The sequence below is a fragment of the Homo sapiens genome, chromosome 15 (genome assembly GCF_000001405.40).
Source record: "Homo sapiens chromosome 15, GRCh38.p14 Primary Assembly".
In the NCBI taxonomy this organism is placed as follows: domain Eukaryota; kingdom Metazoa; phylum Chordata; class Mammalia; order Primates; family Hominidae; genus Homo; species Homo sapiens.
The window spans coordinates 43628050-43648897 of NC_000015.10; the positions used below are offsets into that span (position 1 = coordinate 43628050).

Below are 20848 nucleotides of genomic sequence, written 5' to 3' on the forward strand. Positions count from 1 at the left end.
TATTTAATTTTGAGATGGAGTTTCGCTCTTGTTGCCCAGGCTGGAGTGCAATGGCGCAGTCTTGGCTCACTGCAACCTCTACCTCCCGGGTTCAAGCAATTTTCCTGCCTCAGCCTCCAAAGTAGCCGGGATTACAGGCAACCCCCCACCCACCACACCCGGCTAATTTTGTATTTTTAGTAGAGACAGGGTTTCACCATGTTGGCCAGGCTGGTCTTGAACTCCTGACCTAAGGTGATCTGCCCACCTCGGCCTCCCAAACTGCTGGGATTACAAGCGTGAGCCACTGCACATGGCCCAATTCAGTGTTTTTAAATATATTATATTGTTGAACTATTCAAGACTATCCAATTCCAGAACATTTCCATCACCTGCCAAATAAACCCTATACCTATCATCTGTCAGTCTCAATTCCTCCCTCCCCAACCCCCAAGAAACCACTAATCTACTTTCTGTCTTCATAGATTTGTTTATTCTGGACATTCAATTCATTTGCCTTTTCCCCATCTTGGCCTTTTTGCCAGACATACTCTTAGGTGAGGACTTTATAATTACCACCCTATTGCCCCCTTCCATCTCTTCCCCACTTGGGTAGCAGCCCTTACTTAAGGTTGGGTGTTACTGACCTTACCTCCAGTTCAGGAGAAAGCCTTAATTAGTGATTTCATCACAACCACCACCTTACCTCAACAATTTGTTCAGACGTAAGCATATGACCTAACTTCTTGGTCCAATCAGAGTGGTGGTCAGGATATCTTTAGAGGAGTGGAGGTTGACTTACCTGCAGTTAATGCCCAAATTTTAAGTGTACATTTTGTTGAATTTTTACATCTGTATATACCGGTGTAACCACCATGCAGATCAAGATATGGAACATATCTATAGCACTCCAGATGCTTCATGCTTCCTCCCCATCAGTATCTTCACTCCAAGAATAACCATTATTGTGACCCAAAGCTCAAAAATTTTGTTCATTGACTGAGAAAGGAGTCACCGGCTCTCTTCCCCTGCATATGGGGAAATAGGTATGCAAGCCTAGGCGCTTCAGAAAATTGTCTGGCTACCCAAGTGAAGCCAGTCTGAGAATAACAAGAACACGTGGAGGAGAGCGCAGACAGGAAAATTCCAGAGAAACAAAACCACAGATCTAACAACAGTGAATTTTTACATTAAATCAATCCTGAAGCTATACTACCTTTGAATTTTCCAGTCTCCAGTAAGCTATTTTATTGTTTAAATGGCTTCAACTGATTTTTTTCTCAACTCAGAATTTTTAACCTGAGTTAGAACCTTAGCTCTACCTCTTACTTGGTATGTGCTCTTGGGCAAGCTACTTAACTTACTTAATTTCTTTAGGCCTTAGTTTTCTGATCTCTAAAAATGTGACGCTATCTTCCATATATGATTATTTTATGAAATATGCATACTCTATATACAGTATATATATACTAAATATATAAATAACCTCATACATGTTAAACACTCAATAAGTGATATAATTTTTAATAATAAACATGTCTAAAGACTTAAGTCTTCTAACGATGGAATGGGATCCCTTCTAGATAATAAATCCCAAATAACTAGAAACATTAAGCATTACCTGGATAATCCTCCTTTCAGTGATGTTCTAAAAGGTGTTCCTGCTTTGATGGGAGATAGATTAACTCTGAAATCCCTTCTAACACTAAAAACCTGTACAACACTTACTGATTTGAACACTGCCCTGAGCTATGGCAAAATGAAATAAAGAGACTTCCGGTCCAGAAACAGGTAAAAATAATATCCAATTAAAGTTAATGGTTCACAAGAGAAGCAACATGAGTGGAACACGCAATGGAAACAATACTTCTCAATTAGTTACACTAACAGCTCTGAAGATCTCCTTACTCCACAGAGGGGCCTTTACCTATGCATCAGGGAGGGAGAGGGTAAAATTAGGACTCTAATCAGGCAGTAGAGGTTGCAGGAAGGGTGGAAGCTATAATGATAAAGTCAAGAAATGAGTCAGATTCAGGAGCTGTGGAAAGGGTAGAAAGCTAAGGAGCACAGACTCCACTGGCATCTGAGCTAACTTGTTTTGTTCTTTTTTAGAGATAGGGTCTCGCTATGTTGCCCAGGCTGGAATGCAGTGATATGATCCTAGCTTGCTGTAGCCTCGAACTCCCTGCCTCAAACAATCCTGCCTCAGCCCATAGCTGGGACTAGAGGCACACATCACCACACTCAGCTTGAACTAACTCTTTTACTTGACCTTATGCCTTTCAATATCCCTTATCTCAGGGTCACACTACTGAGCAGCTATCAGGAGTATTTATAAGACACTTATACAGAGTCTCACTCTGTTGCCCAGGCTGGAGTGCAGTGGTGCAATCTTGGCTCACTGCAACCTCTGACTCCCAGGTTCAAGTGATTCTCCTGCCTCAGGCTCCCAAGTAGCTATGATTACAAGCATCTGCCACCACACCCAGCTAATTTTTTTGTATTTTTAGTAGAGACAGGGTTTCACCACGCCTGGCCTAGACACTTATACTTTTTAATTTTAATGAACAGACATTGTTCTATCTGAATGTTTATATTTTCAATTCTCTATTTCCAACAATTCCCTTCATTATCTTTTGCTGGGCCCAAGGATATTGAAGCCATCCATTGCTTTACTTGTCTTCCAAGTTCATCAGTGCCTGCACTGCAAAGGAAACAGATTGTGAGGCTGGAGAGCTAAGAATATTCTACATATATAAATGTTTGGTGAAGACCTTGCTTTTCTGGGTTCTAGGTTCCCTCACAAGTCTTTACTAATCTTTAAATTAAGCCATATGATTCTGTGTACTCTTTGCCATAGACAAGTTTTATTAGGATTAAAGAAACTACCTTGCTGCATTTTCCTCCTTTTCACCCTGTCCTCCCTAGAGAATAAGTGGGAAGTCAGGGCTAAGAATGACTAGAAGGAACAGGATTAAATTTAGGCAACATTGTGAAGTAAGCAAAGCCTGTCTTTCACATCTTGCCCTAAATTCCATGTTCCAATATTATAAATTCCTCATTTCCCACCTGTGCCCACCACACACAAACACACAGTCCTCCTCTCTAATTTCTTATTTTCAAACTGAGTTGATTTCAACTAGGTATGAGGGGAAAAACCCAGATAACACATATTAAATCATTAAAATCCACCCCTAAATCTTCTGTTTTTGGTTTGTCTTGAGACGGAGCCTCATTCTTTTGCCAGGCTGGAGTTCAGTGGCGTGATCTCCGCTCACTGCAACCTCCGCCTTCCAGGTTCAAGCAATTCTCATGCCTCAGCCTCCCGAGTAGCTGGGACTACAGGCATGTGCCACAACGTCCAGCTGATTTTTTGTATTTTAGTAGAGACAGGGTCTCACCATGTTGGCCAGGATGATCCTAATCTCCTGACCTTGTGATCTGCCCGCCTCGGCCTCCCAAAGTGCTGGGATTACAGGTGTGAGCCACCGTGCCCGGCCTTTTTTTTTCCTTTTAGAGGGAAATTGTATTAAGCCAAATTAGTCATAGAGTAATGAAATTTAGGAAAAATAACTTTGAATAGATAGTTCCCAGTTTACATCAAACTCTACTATTTAAATCACATATTTATCTTTATAGAGGCTGACACTAGAAGGGGCAGATACAAACAGAAGTTTAGAATTCATAAACCTCTTTAGGCAGTTAGGACAGTGAGCACGTGTGGGCATACTGCTCATTGTCTGATCCCCCATAGCTCTCCAGCTTGAGGCTTAGGCCCTGCTGCTCAAGTCTGAAATGCAATCTTCAGAGAGAATAAACGTGCAGAAACTGGTGGGCTGCCCAAATCAAGCAAGAGCCTACCTTGTCCTAATTCCCAACAACTGGGATTAGACTTTCTCTTCTTGGGAAATAAGCTCTCATACCTCATAGGATTTGGGTGTCCCCTGCTACAGAAGCAGAGTTTCTAGGTTCTCTCTCAGTTAGGGAAAAGTGGGACACATTCCCAGAATGTGACATACCAAACCAAGAATTTTAGTTTCTGCCTATTTTAGTTGTAGGCAGAAATTGAGAAGCTGAGATGCCAGAATAGTGGACACCCTCCTCCTTCTCCACAGCTATAAACGCTATATATATATTCCCATGGTCCCCATGACTGCCCTAACTCCATACCTGCAAACTCTTGTAACTTCTTACGTTCCTCTAGGTTATACTGAAGCTTTTCTAGCAACTCAAAATATCGGAAGAGTGAGTCTCTGGGCCAAACACGGTCATCCTGATCCATTTCCATTAGCCCGGGCAGATTTTCGTGCACAAGAGTCTCCCAGTCCAAACGACCTGCAGGGAGGAATGCTTCAGAAAAGCACGTCTAGATTTGTAAAAGTTGGGTAAGAGCTGGTAAATCCTATGGTGTGGGTGGAAAGGTGGGGTGGAAAGAGGTAACAGGAAGCAAGGAGGGAAAGGGTGCATCAGTAAGAAACCACTTTTTACAACGAGCAAAGAGGGCCACAGCCACACTTACCCGAAGTGAAGAAGAAGTACAGGGGAAATTAAGAAGCAAAAACAAAGTAATTAAGACCAGAAAATTGGAAAGGAGATATACTAGGAGAGCTCCTGTTAAGACTAAGATGTCTTAAAGAGGAGTCTGAATTCAAATGGAAAAAACTCATTATTATAGTTCTTCGGCTCACCAATAGATTCAGAAAATCTGGATTCAGAAGAGGAAGAATAGGAAGAGGATGTGGAGGAGACACAGGAGGAAGACTGGTACTCTCTCTTTTTTGACAAGGTCTCTTCTGTTTTTGATGCAGATGTTATTAAATCCTCTTCAGTGGCACCATAATTAGACTCTACTTCAGACACTTCTGATAAGTCCAAACTTTCCCTTTGTTGACTAGCTCCTCTTGAACTTAAAGAAGAAATTTATGGCTTCACAAACATTTACAAGATATGACTAGTCCACTCATTATTCTGGTTCTGCCCCTGGCCACCCCCTAAAGCTGGGGCATAAGACAATGAGGGCCAAACTACTCCCAAACTCTAAACTCAGGCACTTCCAACCTCAATCATTCATGTGTCATCCTTAACTCTTCTCTCCCCTCCCATATCCAGTCCATCAAGAAATCCTGCTGACTCTACCTTCGAAATATATCTTTTCTCAATAACTCACTGCCACCACTCTGGCCTAAGCTGTCATCATTTCTTGCCTGGGCAGCAGCATAGCCTCCCAACTGATCTCTCTACTCCTTCCCTTGTTCTTCTATCAACACAGCAACCAGAGTAATCCTTCTTAAACGTAAGTCACTTCATGTCACTCCTCTGTTCTGCTTGCCATTTCAAAGTCCCTACAATGGCACCCATAACCCTACAGGATCAGGTCACCATTCTCTCTCTGACTTCATTTCCCAGCACTCTTCCCCCTGCTCACTCTACTCCAGTCACAATGGCCTCTGCTGTTTCTCAAACAAACCAAGCATGCTTCCAGCTTCGGAGCTTTGCACCGTTTCATCTGCCTATTAACAATCTTCTTACAGATATCCACATGGTAATCCCCTTACCTCCTTCGAGTCTTTGCTCACATTACCTTTTCAATGAGGTCACCGTGACTACCCTGTTTAAAACTACAACCCATCTGCAGCTGGGCACGATGGCTCACACCTGTAATCCTAACACTTTTGGAGGCTGAGGCGGGTGGAGTGCCTGAGCTCAGGAGTTTGAGACCAGCCCGGGCAACATGGTGAAACCTCGTCTCTACTAAAATACAAAAAAATAAATAAATAAATTAGCCAGGCATGGTGGCGGACACCTGCAGTCCCAGCTACTTGGGAGGCTGAGGCAGGAGAGTCGCTTGAACCCAGGAGGCGGAGGTTGCAGTGAGCCGATATATCGTGCCACTGCACTCCAGCCTGGTGACAGAGCGAGACTCTGCCTCAAAAAAAAAAAGAAAAAAAAACCTACAACCCATTTGCAATCCCACCTTCTACTCCCAATCTCCCTTAACCTGTTCTACTTTTAATTTTCCCATAATGCTTATCATATTTTAACAGATTAATTTACTTAATATATTCACTGCTTATTATCTCTTTACCACTACTAATATGTAAGCTCCATGAAGCAGGCATTATTGTCTATTTTGTTCACTGATAACATCCCAAGCACCTACTAAGTATTCAATAATTATTTGTTCTTTATTGTTTTTTGTTTGTTTTTTTTTGAGACAGGGTCTTGCTCTGTCACCCAGGCTGCAGAGCAGTGGCACAATCACGGCTCACCACAGCCTCAACCTCTCAGCTCAAGCAGTCCTCCCACCTCAGCCTCCTAAGTAGCTGGGACCACAGGAACACACCACCACATCCAGCTAATTTTTGTTCATAGAGACAGGATTTTACCATATTGCCTAGTTTAGTCTCGAACTCCTGAGCTCAAGTCATCTGCCCACCAGTTTTCCAAAATGCTGGTATTACAGGCATGAGTCACCGCACCCACCCTGCTAAATTTTTGAGATGGGATCTTGCTCTGTTGCCCAGGCTGGAGTATAGTGGTGCAATCATGTCTCAATGCAGTCTTGAACTTCTGGCTTGAACTTCAAGCAATCCTCTTGCCTTCACCTCTCAAAGTGTTGGGATTACAAGTATAATCCACCTCATCTAGCCAGTAATTATTTGTTAATAAGTGAATGAGTTTACTTCCGCTTCTGCTTTTTTTGTCCACTGCTAAACACTTGGGGTCTAGAATCATATCTGTTTCATGGAAGGTATTTGTATTAGTGTCCTGTGGCTGCCATAACAAATTACTATAAACTTGGTAGCTTAAAATGACAGAAATATATTCCGTCACAATTCTAGAGGCTAGAGTCTGAAATGAAGGTGTTGGCAGGGCCATATTCCCTCTGGAGGCTTTAGGGGAGAAGTTCCTTGCCTCTTCTACCTTCTGGCAGCTGCCTGGCATTCCTCAGCTTCCCTTGGCTTGCGGTGGCATTAGCCCCAACCTCTATCTCCGTCTTCACATCGCCTTCTCCTATTCTCTGTGTCTTCTCCTCTTTCATCTTTTATAAGGACCCTTGCCATTGGATTTAGGACCTACCTGGATAATCTAGGATGATCTCATCTCAAGATCCTTAACTTAGGATCTTTTTTTTTTTCCAAATAAGGTCACATTCACAGGTTCCAGGGAGCAAAGACATGGACATATTATTTCGGGTGCCACTAGTCAACCTACTACAATATGCAGTTATTAAATGAATGAATTATCTCTCAAAGCCAATCTTCATCTTTAGTTTTCCACCCTCTCCTCCTTCATGTGTTTCTATCCCAGTTCACATACATACTCCTAACCTGTCCTCTATTTTGCTATGGCTTGACGTCAGTGCTTCATGTGACATGTTTTTTCTCCTGCAGAGCAAAAAAAAAAAAGAGCAAAGACAGTTATATTCAAGCAAAAGTGTGGTAAGAAAAAAAAAGTTCATATCAGAAAGTGAAGAAAACTAATTGGGGAGAACAAATTGTAGTCAAGGGGTGAAAAAAATGGAGGACACCCCACAGTGGATGAAGAATCAGGCAATATTCTAGAGCTGGAGAATTCTTATCCTTGGGGGCAAATCTACTGTCACAAAGGGAAAAGTGGGGTCGAGAAGTAGAAACAAGAAATGAGCTCAGGAAACCCTTGAGAAGGAAAGTTGGGGTTGAAAAGGGAGAAGCAGACCTCTGGATGATCTGCCGCTTGAACATGTCAGCTTTGAGCTGAACCTCCCGACGCGCCATCTCCTCATTCAGCTCTTTCCTGATATTCTGAAAGTTAGTAACTGCCCCAAAGGGCCATTAGGAGCTGGGAGATGGTAATGACTAGACTTGGGAAGAGGGCTTGGGTGGGGAGAATCCAAGTGAAATATCCAATCCAGAACCCAAGCCTTCCTGCTACACTAGGTTCTTTATACCCATAAGCCACCAATCCCAGCTTTCAGAATAACTTTTTCCCAACCACACTTCCCAAACAAGTTTCACCTCCTCTATGCTTACCCATCATGGCTACTATGATACTTCGAAAGATAATGGAGCCAAGCAACAACCAAAGGATGAAATAGATGCTGCTGAAGATGCGACTGACTTCAGGCACCTTCCAGACGTCCTGAAGCAGTGCATACCAATGATCCAAGGTGAAGAGAATGAACACTGTTACCAGGGAATTCGGGAGGTCCCTAAAGAAAAAGACATGTGAATAGACAGAAGCAGAGACCTAAACCTTTCAAAAATGGTACCATTCTTACTTTTAAAGAAACATAAAGCATTTCTTTGTAGTTTGTTCTGATTTTGGCTCCTTTTCTACCATACTCAGTTTTTAGCTAATCATTCTATAGTTTGAAGTTTTTTTTTGTTGTTGTTTTTATTAGATGCAGTCTCACTCTGTTGCCCAGGCTGGAGTGCAGTGGCGCGATCTAGGCTCACTGCAACCTCCACCTCCTGGGTTCAAGAGATTCTCCTGCCTCAGCCTCCCGAGTAGCTGGGATTATAGGCATGCACCACCACGCCCAGCTAATTTGTGTATTTTTAGTAGAGATGGGGTTTTGTCATGTTGGCCAGGCTGGTCTCGAACTCCTGACCTAAGGTGATCTGCCAGTCTCAGCCTCCCAAAGTGCTAGGATTATAGGTGTGAGCCACCGCACCCAGCCTAAATTCTCCTTTATCATGAATAATCTATGACTAACTCTCACTATTCCATTAGTTCTTGGGTATAATAAATAATAAACAGGTATTGACTGAATTTTTTAAAGATGAATGAATCACCAACTAGATAGTTTTTCTATTTTTTTTTCTTTTTTTTTTTGAGACAGAGTCTCACTCTATCATCCACGCTGGAGTTGCGTGATCTCAGCTCACTTCAACCTCTGCACTCCAGGCTCAAGCACTTCTCTCACCTCAGCCTCCCGAGTAGTTGGGATTACAGGCATGCGCCACCATGCCCAGCTAATTTTCATATTTTTAGTAGAGACAAGGTTTCACCATGTTGGCCAGGCTGGTCTTGAACCCCTAACCTCAAGTGATCTGCCTGCCTCAGCCTCCTAAAGTGCTGGGATTACAGGTGTGAGCCACCATGGCTGGCCATTTTTTCTAATTTTATTCTCTACTGCTCTATGGACTCCACTTAATAGAAGATCACTCGCAAATTTAGCAAAATTTAGCAAAATTAGCAAATTTAGCAAAATAGAAGATCATTCACAAAATTATTCCTATTAGTTTGCTGGTATGAAATGATACCCAAGCAAATGGGTATGTTACATAAACATATGTGATCCTAAATAATGAATATATACAAATTATAAAATTAATATTTAAAAATTACTAAAAAAGTAAAAAGTTTCCAGGGAGGTATCTAAATTTTCCTACCTTTCTTTTTAGTCCCCCATATACAATTTATCGAAAACATGAGAGCTTTTATAGGATAAAATCTGGGACTTTCCTAACTCAATACTCTTACAAAACTATCTGTTAGAATTTAACAGAGTGCTGAGAGGCACTGACAAGATTGAATTCTAATTCATAAACAGGATTATCCACTCAAAATTCAAGTTGATTTTCTTCTAGAAAACACTGATTAGTGGTTTAATATTTAAAAAATATGTAACACTTCATAAATTTGTGTTTCATCCTTGCACAAGGGCCATGCTAATCTTCTCTATATCGTTCCAATTTTAGTACATGTGCTGCCGAAGTGAGCACTGATTAGTGTTTTCTAGACAGAGATCAGGAATAGGCGTGTGCATGTGTAATATGTAGAGATTGGGATAAAACCAGTGATCATATTTGAGAATCATAGTAACATTAATTGATCACTTATAATGTGTTACATACTGTGCTAAGTGCTTAAATGCATTACCACATTTAACCCCACACTCTTATGAAGTAGCACTGCTATTATTCTTTTTTTTTTTTTTCTTTTCTTTTTGAGATGGAGATGGAGTTTCACTCTTTGTTGCCCAGGCTGGAGTGCAGTGGCTCAATCTCAGCTCACTGCAATCTCTGCCTCCCAAGTTCAAGTGATTCTCCTATCTCAGCCTCTGGAGTAGCTGGGATTACAGGCGCCCACCACCACACCTGGCTAATTTTTGTATTTTTAGTAGAGACAGGGTTTCACCATGTTGGCCAGGCTGGTCTCGAACTCCTGACTCAGGTGATCCACCTGTCTTGGCTTCTGAAACTGCTGGGATTATAGGCATGAGCCACTGTGCCCAGCCTATTCCCATTTTTCTTTTCTTTTTCTTTCTTTCTTTTTTTTTTTTTTTTTTTTTGAGATGGAGTATTGCTCTGTTGCCAGGCTGGAGTACAGTGGCACTATATCGGCTCACTGCAATCTCTGCCTCCCAGATTCAAGCAATTCTCCTGCCTCAGACTCCCGAGTAGCTGGGACTACAGGCGCCTGCCACCACGGCTGGCTAATTTTTGTATTTTTGGTAGATACAGGGTTTCACCATGTTGGCTAGGATGGTCTCGATCTCTTTACCTCATGATCCACCCGCCTTGGCCTCCCAAAGTGCTGGGATTTCAGGGGTGAGCCACCGCGCCCTGCCCCCATTTTTCAAAAGAGGTAACTGAGTCACAGAAACCAAGCTTAACCACTGGAGTGTACTGCTATTTAAAGATGCCTGATGACAGTGTGGTTTGAATTTGCAAAACCCAGAATAAACATGGAACTAGCTGCCCTAACCTCAAGATCAGAGCTAATACCATTCACTATTCTTTTGCTTTCTCTTTCCCTCTCCCTATTGTGTTCTATTTCAGTTTCTTGGAATAGACTGCACTTTTTATATTACTATACTTTGGACAAGCTTCCTGGTCTCTTAGCCAAATTTTCTCCCCTCACCCAGCTGTCCCCAGCTCTGCTTACGAGAAGAACACATGGTACTCCAGGTCCTGACGAGGTGAACGGGTGTACTCTGAGAAGACGTAGACACCAGTCACAGCAAAAATGTAGAAGAAGATGAGCAGCAACATCAAGAGGAAGGTCATGCTCTAGAGGCCATAACTCTCATGTCAGATGTGGGCCAAACTAGGCTGATCTCCACCAACAGCCCAGTCAAGCTCACCTGGCAATCCCCCACCAAACCCTCTCTTGCACTGCTGAACCCAGTCATCTTTGAACCATGGCACCTGTCCCCAGCCCCTTCTCATCCAATAACATTTCACAGGACGTTTCATTGCCTTCTTTGACCCACCCAGATTTCTTTCATATATTTTTTTTTTTTTTAGACGGAGTTTCACTCTGTCGCCTAGGCTAGAGTGCAGTGGCGCAGTCTCGGCTCACTGCAACTTCCGCCTCCCGGGTTCAAGTGATTCTTCTGCCTCAGCCTCCTGAGTAGCTGGGATTACAGGCACACACCACCAAGCCCGGCAATTTTTTTTTTTTTTTTTTTTTTTTTTTGGTATTTTTAGTAGAGACAGGGTTTCACCATGTTGGTCAGGCTGGTCTCGAACTCCTGACCTCATGACCCATCCCCCTCGGCTTCCCAAAGTGCTGGGATTACAGGCGTGAGCCACCGCACCCGGCCAATTTGTTTCATATTCTATGTTAAGCCCTCACATTTATCTACCTTGCCCCCTGCTTTAGCTTGCAACAGTCAAATCACCTTGAGGGCCCTGACCAGGACCAAAATAATAATTTGAATTTGACGGAATTGTGCAAGGAGTTTGAGAGACCTCAGCACCCGGCAGATCCTCAGAAGCTGAAGCCACACCGATTGGCCTGTTACCCCTACCAATACCACAACCTCGGGAAGCAGGGACTGTGGAAAACACACAGGTTATAAGTAAAATACACCCCAAGGCACCCAGGCAGAATTGCAGCTTCTTCATCTTATCCTCTTCATTGTTCCCTGGGCGTTATCCCTTGAATAGCATTCTCTGAGAAGTGCTTACTATTCAGCCTTTCTATATTAAGTTGCTTAAACACTATACTTAAACTTGTTCAGATATAAAAAGGGGGATAAAATTCATGGTTATTTAATTGGGTTGTTGTGGAGCATAAATGAGATAATGTAAGGAAAACACTTAAAATAATGCTTGGCACTTAGTAAGTGCTCAGTAACCGGCAGATGCTCTTGTTGGCATTGATGTTGTAGTTAGTCTACTTTGCTCCTAATACCAACAACTCCTGCAATGATTGATGTTTAGTTTTAGGGAAAAAAAATCAAAAGAAAGAAGTTAAGTAAATTTTTGTTTCTTCCTATTATCATGTTAACTTGTTCTTTCGATTCACCTAGGCACATTCTTCATCCCACTAAACGAACCCTCAGGATCTCTATCCTTACCAACATGGTAACAACAAAGTCAAAGACATTCCAGGCACTCTTCCAGAAAACAGAAAAGTTGGATAGCCACTTAAGAAGGATCTCCAGGATGAAAATAAGCAAGATAAACCAAGCTGCCACCTCCAAGGTCAGCTTCAATGGCCATAGTTTGGTATTTGTGGATTCCAGCAATTCTGTGAAGATAGAGCAAAGGAGGAATAAAAGTTAAGGAAGCTGGAAACCGAATGATGGAGAATGAACACACTTATAAACCACAGTTTTGCCCACTACTGTTCCATTTTTCTTCACACTGTGTTAAGAGTTAAGAGTTTCTCTTCTTAACACTGTTGCTTCAACCTGTGAAATACAGGGAAGGACAGAATTGACCATAAAACACAGCCACAACCAATCTGTTCATATAGTTATGTCTGCCCAGCTACAAGTCACTTGCGATCCACTCTGGGGCTCACACAGCTACTAAGAGAGTACTCTCTTTAATTACCCCTACCTCCAAACCCCACCCCCATCTACTGTACTGTTATCTCAGTCCCAAAGTTCACAAGAAAGCAATGGGTCTTGAGAACAGAATGAAAATACAGGGCCATGATATCTGAACTACTTTATAACGAATGTAGAAACAAGCCACAATCATTAGGGTATATCGAATTATAACAATAAATCACTTGGTTCTGTTAGCTTTCTTTTAAAACTTTTCCTTTCTTCCCTGCCTAAAATTTTGCTCTGCAAAGCAAACTGAATGCAAATTTCCTCTCTAGAAACCTATTATTTACTTTTGTTTTGTTTTGTTTTTTGTTTTTTGTTTTTTTTTTTGAGATGGAGTTTCGCTCTTGTTGCCCAGGCTGGAGTGCAATGGTGCGATCTTGTCTCACTGCAACCTCCACCTCCGGGGTTCAAGCAATTCTCCTGCCTCAGCCTTCCGAGTAGCTGGGATTACAGGCATGCACCACCACACCCGGCTAATTTTGTATTTTCAGTAGAGATGGGGTTTCTCCATGTTGAGGCTGGTCTCAAACTCCTGACCTCAGGTGATCCGCCCACCTCAGCCTCCCAAAGTGCTGGGATTATAGGCGTGAGCCACCACACCTGGCCGAAACCTATTATTTACTAATTGCTATTCCTTAATTCATTGCCTTTCTCTTTCAACCTTCTTCATCTCTTTTATACAATGAATGGATGTATGCCATACCCTTGGAAAAAAAAAAAACACTCAGATTATAATAGGCTTAAGAGCTAAATAGAAATCAACATTGTGGTGCTCTGGCTTTAAAGTCATCCTGATGCTGAACTGAATCCAGACAAAAAGAACAGAACAATACTTCAATCATCCCTAGAATTTTACAGAGGTTGGCCCCTTCTAAAAACCAATGGAGTTACGCTATACTTATTTCTATGCTTGTTTTGAGAGAGAATCTCACTCTGTCACCCAGGCTGGAGGAGTGCAGTTGCATAATCACGGTTCACGGAAGCCTGGCTCTTCCGGGCTCAAGAGCCTCTGGGTAACTGGGACCACAGGCACATGTCACCATGCCCAGCTAATTTTTTCTTTAAATTACTTGTAGAGATGGGGTCTCCCTATGCTGCCCAGGTTGGCCTCAAACTGCTGGGCTAAAGCGATCCGCCCGCCTTGGTCTCCCAAAGTGCTGGGGTTATAGGCATGAGCCACTGCACCCAGCACTCCTATGCTTATTTAGGCTCTGTACTTCTGTAAGTTTTTCTTTCACGTAAGTTTCTCTAAGACGGACAATTTTTCACATTTTAACATACATGAAATTAGGATGCTTTTTTTTTTTTCTTTGAGACACAGTCTCGCTCTGTTGCCAAGATGGAGTGCAGTGGTGCAATCTCAGCTCACTGCAACCTCCGCCTCCTGGGTTCAAGCGATTCTCCTGCCTCAGCCTCCCAAGTAGCTGGGACTACAGACATGCGCCACCATGCCCAGCTAATTTTTGTATTTTTGGTAGAGACAGGGTTTCACCATGTTGGCCAGGATGGTCTCCATCTCTAGACCTCGTGATCTGCCCACCTCGGCCTCCCAAAGTGAGGATGCATTTTACAACCAGCGATGTGTCCCAGTTTAATTGAGCATGATTTTTATTTCTTATTGGTAAACAGTGAATTTCACCATTGATGACAGCTTAAATTCAATAAAATACAAAATTTTTTCACTTAACAATAAATTCTAGCTCTCAGGAGCATGGGATTATATAATTAGAAAGAGCTGAGGACCACATTTGTGGCTGGAAAATAGAATGCTATAATTTTTATTCAGTTTTTGCCCTTGCAAAACAGGAACCCAAACAGAGCAATGAAGTAAAATAAGGCTCTTGTAAAGCAGAATATAGTTTTGAGTAGTTTAAAATAGTTTAAGTAGGGAAGTCCAAATTATAGAAGCAGTAGCACTTTTACTCTCTGGAAAAATGAATAATTTTATAGAAGCTAAACAAACCCAAGGAAGTTCAGAGGAACGAATAGCAGAAATTGCCTCAGCAGCACAGAATGTGCAGAAGTGACTGCCTCCACTCTACATCAAGTAATGTGTCCTCTCTGAAGATGAAAAATAACTTTTTAAAATTCTTGGAATTTTTCAGGCTGCTATAGCAAGGCAAAGGAGTCTTAATGGAAATAGAGACCAGGAGCCCAGTGAAGTCTACCCAGGAATCTTAGCCAGTGAAGTGAAGTAGCAGTGAACATCTATGCTTCAATATTCTTCTCAGGGTGACAGACAGTAGCCATTTGATCAAGCAAGTCAGGCAAATATATAATTCTGTTTTACAGGGTAGAGTTCACCATGAACAGTCATCTATTGCTACTCCCTATTCTAGAAAAACAACAGTAGGTCACCTCACAGAATACCAGGTAAATTCACATTGGTTTCAAGGAGTCCAATATTATAGGTGAGGAGAATAGTACACTGCAACAAACTGATATGTAGATGTTGACATTTACACAGTTTTAATATTTTTAGTAATGTTTTGGCTAGTTATATCCATCATGAAACAAGGAATACTGATGTTGAAACATAATTTCTTTCTTTTTTTTTTTGAGATGGATTCCCACTCACTCTGTCGCCCAGCTGCCATCTCGGCTCACTGCAAACTCCGCCTCCCAGGTTCAAGCGATTCTCTTGCCTCAGCCTCCGGAGAAACTGGGACCATAGATGCGCATCACCATACCCACTAATTCTTGTATTTTCAGTAGAGACGGGGTTTCACCATGTTGGCCAGGTTGGTCTTGAACTCCTGACCTCAAGTGATCCGCAGGACTAGGCCTCCCAAATTGCTGGGATTACAGGTGTGAGCCACATGCCCAGCCAGCAATACAATTTCATGAAGAGCATTAAGAATGATAATTCTGCAAGTATAATCTCAAGATGATGTTCATCTGATTCTATAAATTCCATTCATTTGACCAAAAACTTTATATAGCACATCAAACCCTCTCTAGTACTTTAAAAGTCAATGTAAAAAATTGTAATCTTCAGGAATATGCCCACCTTTGGGAAAAAATTGTAATGATATTATACTTAGGTTTTATTTTATTTTTGAGACAGGGTCTTGCTCTGTCACCCAGGCTGCAGTGCACTGGTGAGATCATAGCTCACTGCTGCCTCAATCTCCTGGCCTCAAGTGATCCTGCCACCTCAGCCTCCCAATATACTCAGTTTTTAATTTTAAGGATTATCTACACTTGCATTGTGTTATTTTCTGACAAATGCTTGCAAATGAGTCAAATCTTTTTTTCTTTCTCATTATTTAGAAACAAAATATGAGATTTTTAAAATAAGCCAATTGGTGTTTAAAATGCAAAAGAGAATTACCAATATCCAGTTGTGGAAGCAGATTTTTTTAAAGCCCTAACAGTTTAGATCACTTTGTGATTGGAAAAAAAATTTTTTAAGCCTAAAAAAAGTCTTAATGTTTATCATATGAATTAGTCTGTTCAAAGAAATCTGTTAATCACAAATAATTTCCCTCTGCAAAATCCCTCCTCCCTTTCTACCACAAGAATAAGCTTAATAAAATAAAATTTCCAGGAGCTTGCCAGGTAATTTCTAGTCTGGCAATCTACTTATCCTCTGGCACAGTGACCATGTTTCATATTCAGTTAACTGTTTTACCAAATAGAATAGTTAGTGCTATTCTATTTTGATTTGTCTATTAGATCTAGGGCAGGGGTCCCAAGCCCCAGGCTACGGACTGGTACCAGTCCATGGTCTGTTAGGAACCCGGCCATGCAGCAGGAAGTGAGTGGTGGGTGAGTGAGCATTACCGCCTGAGCTCCACCTCCTGTCAGATCAGCTGCGGCATTAGATTCTCACAGGAGGGCGAGCCCTATTGTGAACTGCATGTGCGTGACCCTTAGGAGAATCTAATGCCTGATGATCTGAGGTGGAACAGCTTCATCCTGAAACCTCCCTCCTACCCCATCCATGGAAAAACTGTCTTGCAAGAAACCAGTCCCTGATGCCAAAAAGGCTGGGGACCACTGATCTAGGAAATCCTGTATAGTTACTATTATTTACTTCATTCCAAGGCTTAGGACTATAATTCTAGCCATGCAAGGCAAATACATGGCAGCAATCATACAATAAAAGGGAATTATAAGTAAGTTAGTTCAAAATCTTCACCATTACGAGGAGGAAATAAAACACCTCAAAGTATATAGTATACTGTAGTGGGTCTGTGACATCAATTATTGTTGTATATTTAAATATCTTTGACCTGACTGCAGTAAAGGACTATTTTATTTTTTTGAGACAGGGTCTCACTTTGTCACCTAGGCTGGAGTTCCGTTGCATGATGGCTCACTGCAACCTCCGCCTCCCAGGCTCAAGCGATCCTCCCACCTCAGCCTGCTGAGTAGCTGGGACTACAGGCATGTGCCACCACACCTAGCTAACTTTTGTATTTTTTGTAGAGATGAGGTTTCTCCACATTGGCCAGGCTGGTCTCAAACTCCTGAGCTCAAGCGATCCTCCCGCCTCAGCCTCCCAAAGTGCTGGGATTACAGGCATGAACCACCATGCCTGGGCCCCAGAGATAAGCTTGTAGGGGACTTGGAGCTAGAGGCAGAGTCCTGAACTGGCTACAGGCACTGGACATTTCTGTTGAGGAAAATATCTGTGTGAAATAAACAGCCAAGAGCTTCATAACTACTCCCTTCTCTTAAAAATTCCTCCTAGGCTGGACGTGGTAACTCACGCCTGTAATCCCAGCACTTTGGGAGGCTAAGGCATGAGGATCTTTTGAGCCCAGGAGTTCAAGACCAGCCTGGGCAACATAGTGAGACCCTGTCTCTACAAAAATAAAATCAACATAATTAGCCTGGTGTAGTGGGCATGCACCTGTAGTCCAAGCTACTCAGGAGGCCGAGGTGGGAGGATCAACTGAGCCCTGGAGGTCGAGGCTGCAACAAGCCATGATCACACCACTGCACTCCAGCCTAAGCAACAAAGTGAGACTCTGTCTCTAAAACATAAAGTGGGAGACTTCCCCACAACAGTGAGAATGAAACAAGTTCTACTGTCCTTTCATCATTTCTGAGCAGTTTGAGATTATCAACAAATGAGCTCACTGATTTTGCAGACATACTTATGTTTTGAATGTATTTCATATAATTTATTATTGGTTTCAGAATCATTTCCTTTTTAAGTAATTTTTTTGGCTCAGCTAATATCTTAGTTGTACCTACCTTTCCATACTTTGTGAGCTTTCTTATTTATACTTAATCTTTCTAAATATACTTGTAAAAATGTAAATGTTAGATCGTTCACTGATAGGCACCAATATCTTTAACAGAAAAGGTTAATTCAAACAAATGTCAGGCTAAACTGACAACAGAAATAAAACTGGTCTTCCCAAGTTCAGTTCCTTGTGGATTTGTTATATTGCTACATATTACACCTAGTTTTATGTGTCTAGATGCTCTGTATCTAGTATACTCTTGAGAGCCTCCAAATATTAATATTTCTTTTTTTTTTGAGATGGGGTGCAGTGGCGTGATTTCAGCTCACTGCAACCTCGGCTTCCCACGATCAAGCGTCCTCCTGCCTCAGCCTACTGAGTAGCTGGGATTACAGGTGCCCACCACCACGCCCAGCTAATTTTTTCTATTTTTAGTACAGATGGGGTTTCAACATGTTGGCTAGGCTGGTCTTGAATTCCTGACCTCAAGTGATTCAACCACCTCGGCCTCCCAAAGTGCTGAGATTACAGGTGTGAGCTACCGTGCCCAGCGAATATTTCTAGATTTTAGCAGTTGCATAAATTCTACTCCAGGAGGCTTAATATAATTGTCCTTAATATAAATGTCACATTTCAAATGACATTCAAAAATGTAAAATGATCAATTTAGAAAAAAAAATTACTCCTACCCACTTCCTCTTTTTCTTTTTCTTTTTTTTTTTTTTGAGACAGAGTTGTACTCTGTCGCCCAGGCTGAAATGCAGTGGCACAATCTCGGCTCACTGAAACCTACGCCTCCTGGGTTTAAGCGATTCTCCTGCCTCAGCCTCCCAAGTAGCTGGGACTACAAGCGCGTGCTACCAAGCCCGGCTAATTTTTTGTATTTTTTAGTAGAGACAGGGTTTCACCATGTTGCCCAGGCTGGTCTCCAACTCCTGAGCTCCGGCAATCCACACGCCCCGGCCTCCCAAAGTGCTAGGATTACACGTGTGAGCCGGCGTGCCCGGCCTCACTTCCTCTTTCATACAAGGTCAGTTCTCACCTATTTCAACCATCAATATGATCGTATTCAAAAAGACCAGGAAGATGATGAAGTTTTTGAAGAGAGGACCTGTTGTCTCTTAAGGAAATGTACAGAGTGGAGTTCTTTCTGATTTATGCAGCTGAAATAATAAGAGCAATAACATAAGCAGTGAAAATGAGACAGTGGAGTATGGGGAGCAAAAAATAAGTCATTAGGCAGATGATCAACAGCCAGGATAAAAATGAGTGACATGAAAGGATACACTCAAGGACCCATCCGGCCCACAAAGAAAGAGGTGGCCTCTGACTGCAGCGCACATGAAGCCTGCTCAACAGCCTCTGGGCATGTGAAATCTGTTCTATACGCTGAGGCTTTATAGAGAAACGCACTAGCTGGTGTTGATCTCCCAATACAAGTTTCTTCTGGCGGGAAGGATCTACAACAAAAATTAAAAAGGGATAGTGGATAAATACAAACAAAATAGACCAGGTAGGGTTGGGGGCAGGGATACTGGTCAGGTAATGGGTTCCCCTAATGCCTTACTGCTAGTCCTTCTCTTCTCACAGCAACTAAGAATTCTGTTTGGAGTGAGAGCAAATGTATTGCTTATGACCAACACTGTCCATGCCCACAAAAGCAGCAGGCTCACTCTCAAAGTTTTAAGAGTCTTTGACAGAAACTCTTCCCAATCATCCATGGCTAGTGGCTATCCTAGGCCTAAAAGTGAAAGACGTGGATTCTATCTCTTCAGTTTTATTTACAAGCCCTTGATTTATCAAGTTTGGTAAACCAGCAACTAAACCTCCCCAGAATTTTCCACTCTTAAATGTAGAGGATGTGGATAGGAGTCTTAAATTTAAATTAGTGAAGAAATAGGCTGCTGACCAAGTAACTCCCTGATAGTGTGCCGCGGCACAGCTTGGCTCAAGCCTTGCAAATGCTCAATGAGAGAGAAAGTATCGATGAGACGTGAACGAATGGCATCAGCTCGGGGAAGCTGCATCTGCTCTTCTTGTTGGTAAGCGGCCATGTCTGCTAAGAAAATGTAAGCATCAAGTGTCATTTCATTCTTGGAGCTGCACCAAGGATTACAGGTTTTCTGTCCCCTCCTCCCCACCCTCTTTACCCTTAAGATTCCTTAATGTACCCACATCTACGAACTAGGAGCAGTTGGGAAGAACAAACATTCTACTAGGACTCAGGGTGTTTTGAAACAAAAGGGGCTAAGTGGTAAAGACATTGCACAGTCGACCAAGCGGCCAGGCATCTTCACTTTGTGATGGCATTTCTAATTAAAACTCATTAAAAACAAAACAAAACAAACAAAAACACCGCAAGAAAAAGGAGCAGCCACAAGGGCAGGGGCCCGGGGCTGGACAAAGAATCTGGGTCCCACCTGTGCCTGAGACAATCGGGCAATGAGGTGGAGTTGGGGGAGGTCTTGGCCTGCTCACGCAAGAGAAACCAAGTGCAGAGAAATTGGACAAAATGCCAAAGCCTGACATTTTGAAAATGGGTCCCGTCCCAAGTGTGTCCACTCCAACACTCCTTCGGGGGCTAGCTCCTTCTCTCCTCCATTCTCGCTTCTGGGCCTCACCTCAGCCCAGGTTCTCTTTGCCCACTCAGTCCTTATTTCACGCTTCCGCCTCCAGCTCAGGTGCCCCGAGCCTGGCTACCCCTATGCAAGACGAGCTCAGGGCCGGCTCCCAGCCTCACTGCGCCCCATTCCCCGCCCCGCTCGACCCCCAGGTTTCGGCTCACCCCGGGACCCGGCCCTAGCCCCTACCCACAGCCCAGGACCATGCGGAGCAACGCTCGCCCAGCCACTCGCCGCCTAGGCCCCGCCCCGCCCCGCTCTCCGGCCAC

At 42.7% G+C, this 20848-nt stretch overlaps 1 protein-coding gene and 2 pseudogenes across 5 annotated transcripts in view, besides 2 other annotated features; all 3 read right to left on the reverse strand.

Moving 5' to 3' along the window:
* On the reverse strand, positions 454 to 20835 carry CATSPER2 (cation channel sperm associated 2). 4 transcript variants are annotated; one of them, NM_001282309.3, is made up of 14 exons: positions 20769 to 20795; positions 20580 to 20660; positions 19868 to 20017; positions 19245 to 19418; positions 19001 to 19069; positions 12275 to 12447; positions 11594 to 11749; positions 10855 to 10979; positions 7992 to 8170; positions 7678 to 7777; positions 7311 to 7367; positions 4668 to 4879; positions 4150 to 4314; positions 454 to 2683 (listed from the first exon to the last, which is right to left on the reverse strand). In NM_001282309.3, the coding sequence occupies exons 3-14, from the start codon at positions 20010 to 20012 to the stop codon at positions 2652 to 2654; spliced, it is 1587 nt and encodes a 528-aa protein (NP_001269238.1). In that variant the 5' UTR covers positions 20013 to 20017; positions 20580 to 20660; positions 20769 to 20795; the 3' UTR covers positions 454 to 2651. The 4 variants fall into 4 exon arrangements, 3 of the variants coding, with proteins under 3 accessions (NP_001269238.1, NP_742093.1, NP_001269239.1); NM_172095.4 differs by having other exon boundaries at positions 4668 to 4885; positions 19868 to 20014; positions 20580 to 20795; NM_001282310.2 differs by lacking the exon at positions 20580 to 20660 and having other exon boundaries at positions 2513 to 2683; positions 20773 to 20835.
* The window catches only part of PPIP5K1P1-CATSPER2 (PPIP5K1P1-CATSPER2 readthrough), a 59470-nt pseudogene continuing 41134 nt past the window's right edge, over positions 2513 to 20848 (reverse strand). The window contains exons 30-40 of the transcript NR_146339.1: positions 19868 to 20014; positions 19245 to 19418; positions 19001 to 19069; positions 12275 to 12447; positions 11594 to 11749; positions 10855 to 10979; positions 7992 to 8170; positions 7311 to 7367; positions 4668 to 4885; positions 4150 to 4314; positions 2513 to 2683 (exon numbers count right to left, since the gene is read on the reverse strand). The product of NR_146339.1 is annotated as a PPIP5K1P1-CATSPER2 readthrough (transcript). The remainder of the gene's footprint in view (positions 2684 to 4149; positions 4315 to 4667; positions 4886 to 7310; positions 7368 to 7991; positions 8171 to 10854; positions 10980 to 11593; positions 11750 to 12274; positions 12448 to 19000; positions 19070 to 19244; positions 19419 to 19867; positions 20015 to 20848) is intronic.
* RNU6-610P (RNA, U6 small nuclear 610, pseudogene) lies at positions 9583 to 9689 on the reverse strand (annotated as a pseudogene).
* Positions 10447 to 10576: an enhancer, noted in NCBI's record as "active region_9316". NCBI's record gives its function as "activates an Ori minimal core promoter by ATAC-STARR-seq in GM12878 lymphoblastoid cells {active_cell/tissue: GM12878}" and the evidence as "EXISTENCE:reporter gene assay evidence [ECO:0000049][PMID:35858748]".
* Positions 10627 to 11156: an enhancer, noted in NCBI's record as "active region_9317". NCBI's record gives its function as "activates an Ori minimal core promoter by ATAC-STARR-seq in GM12878 lymphoblastoid cells {active_cell/tissue: GM12878}" and the evidence as "EXISTENCE:reporter gene assay evidence [ECO:0000049][PMID:35858748]".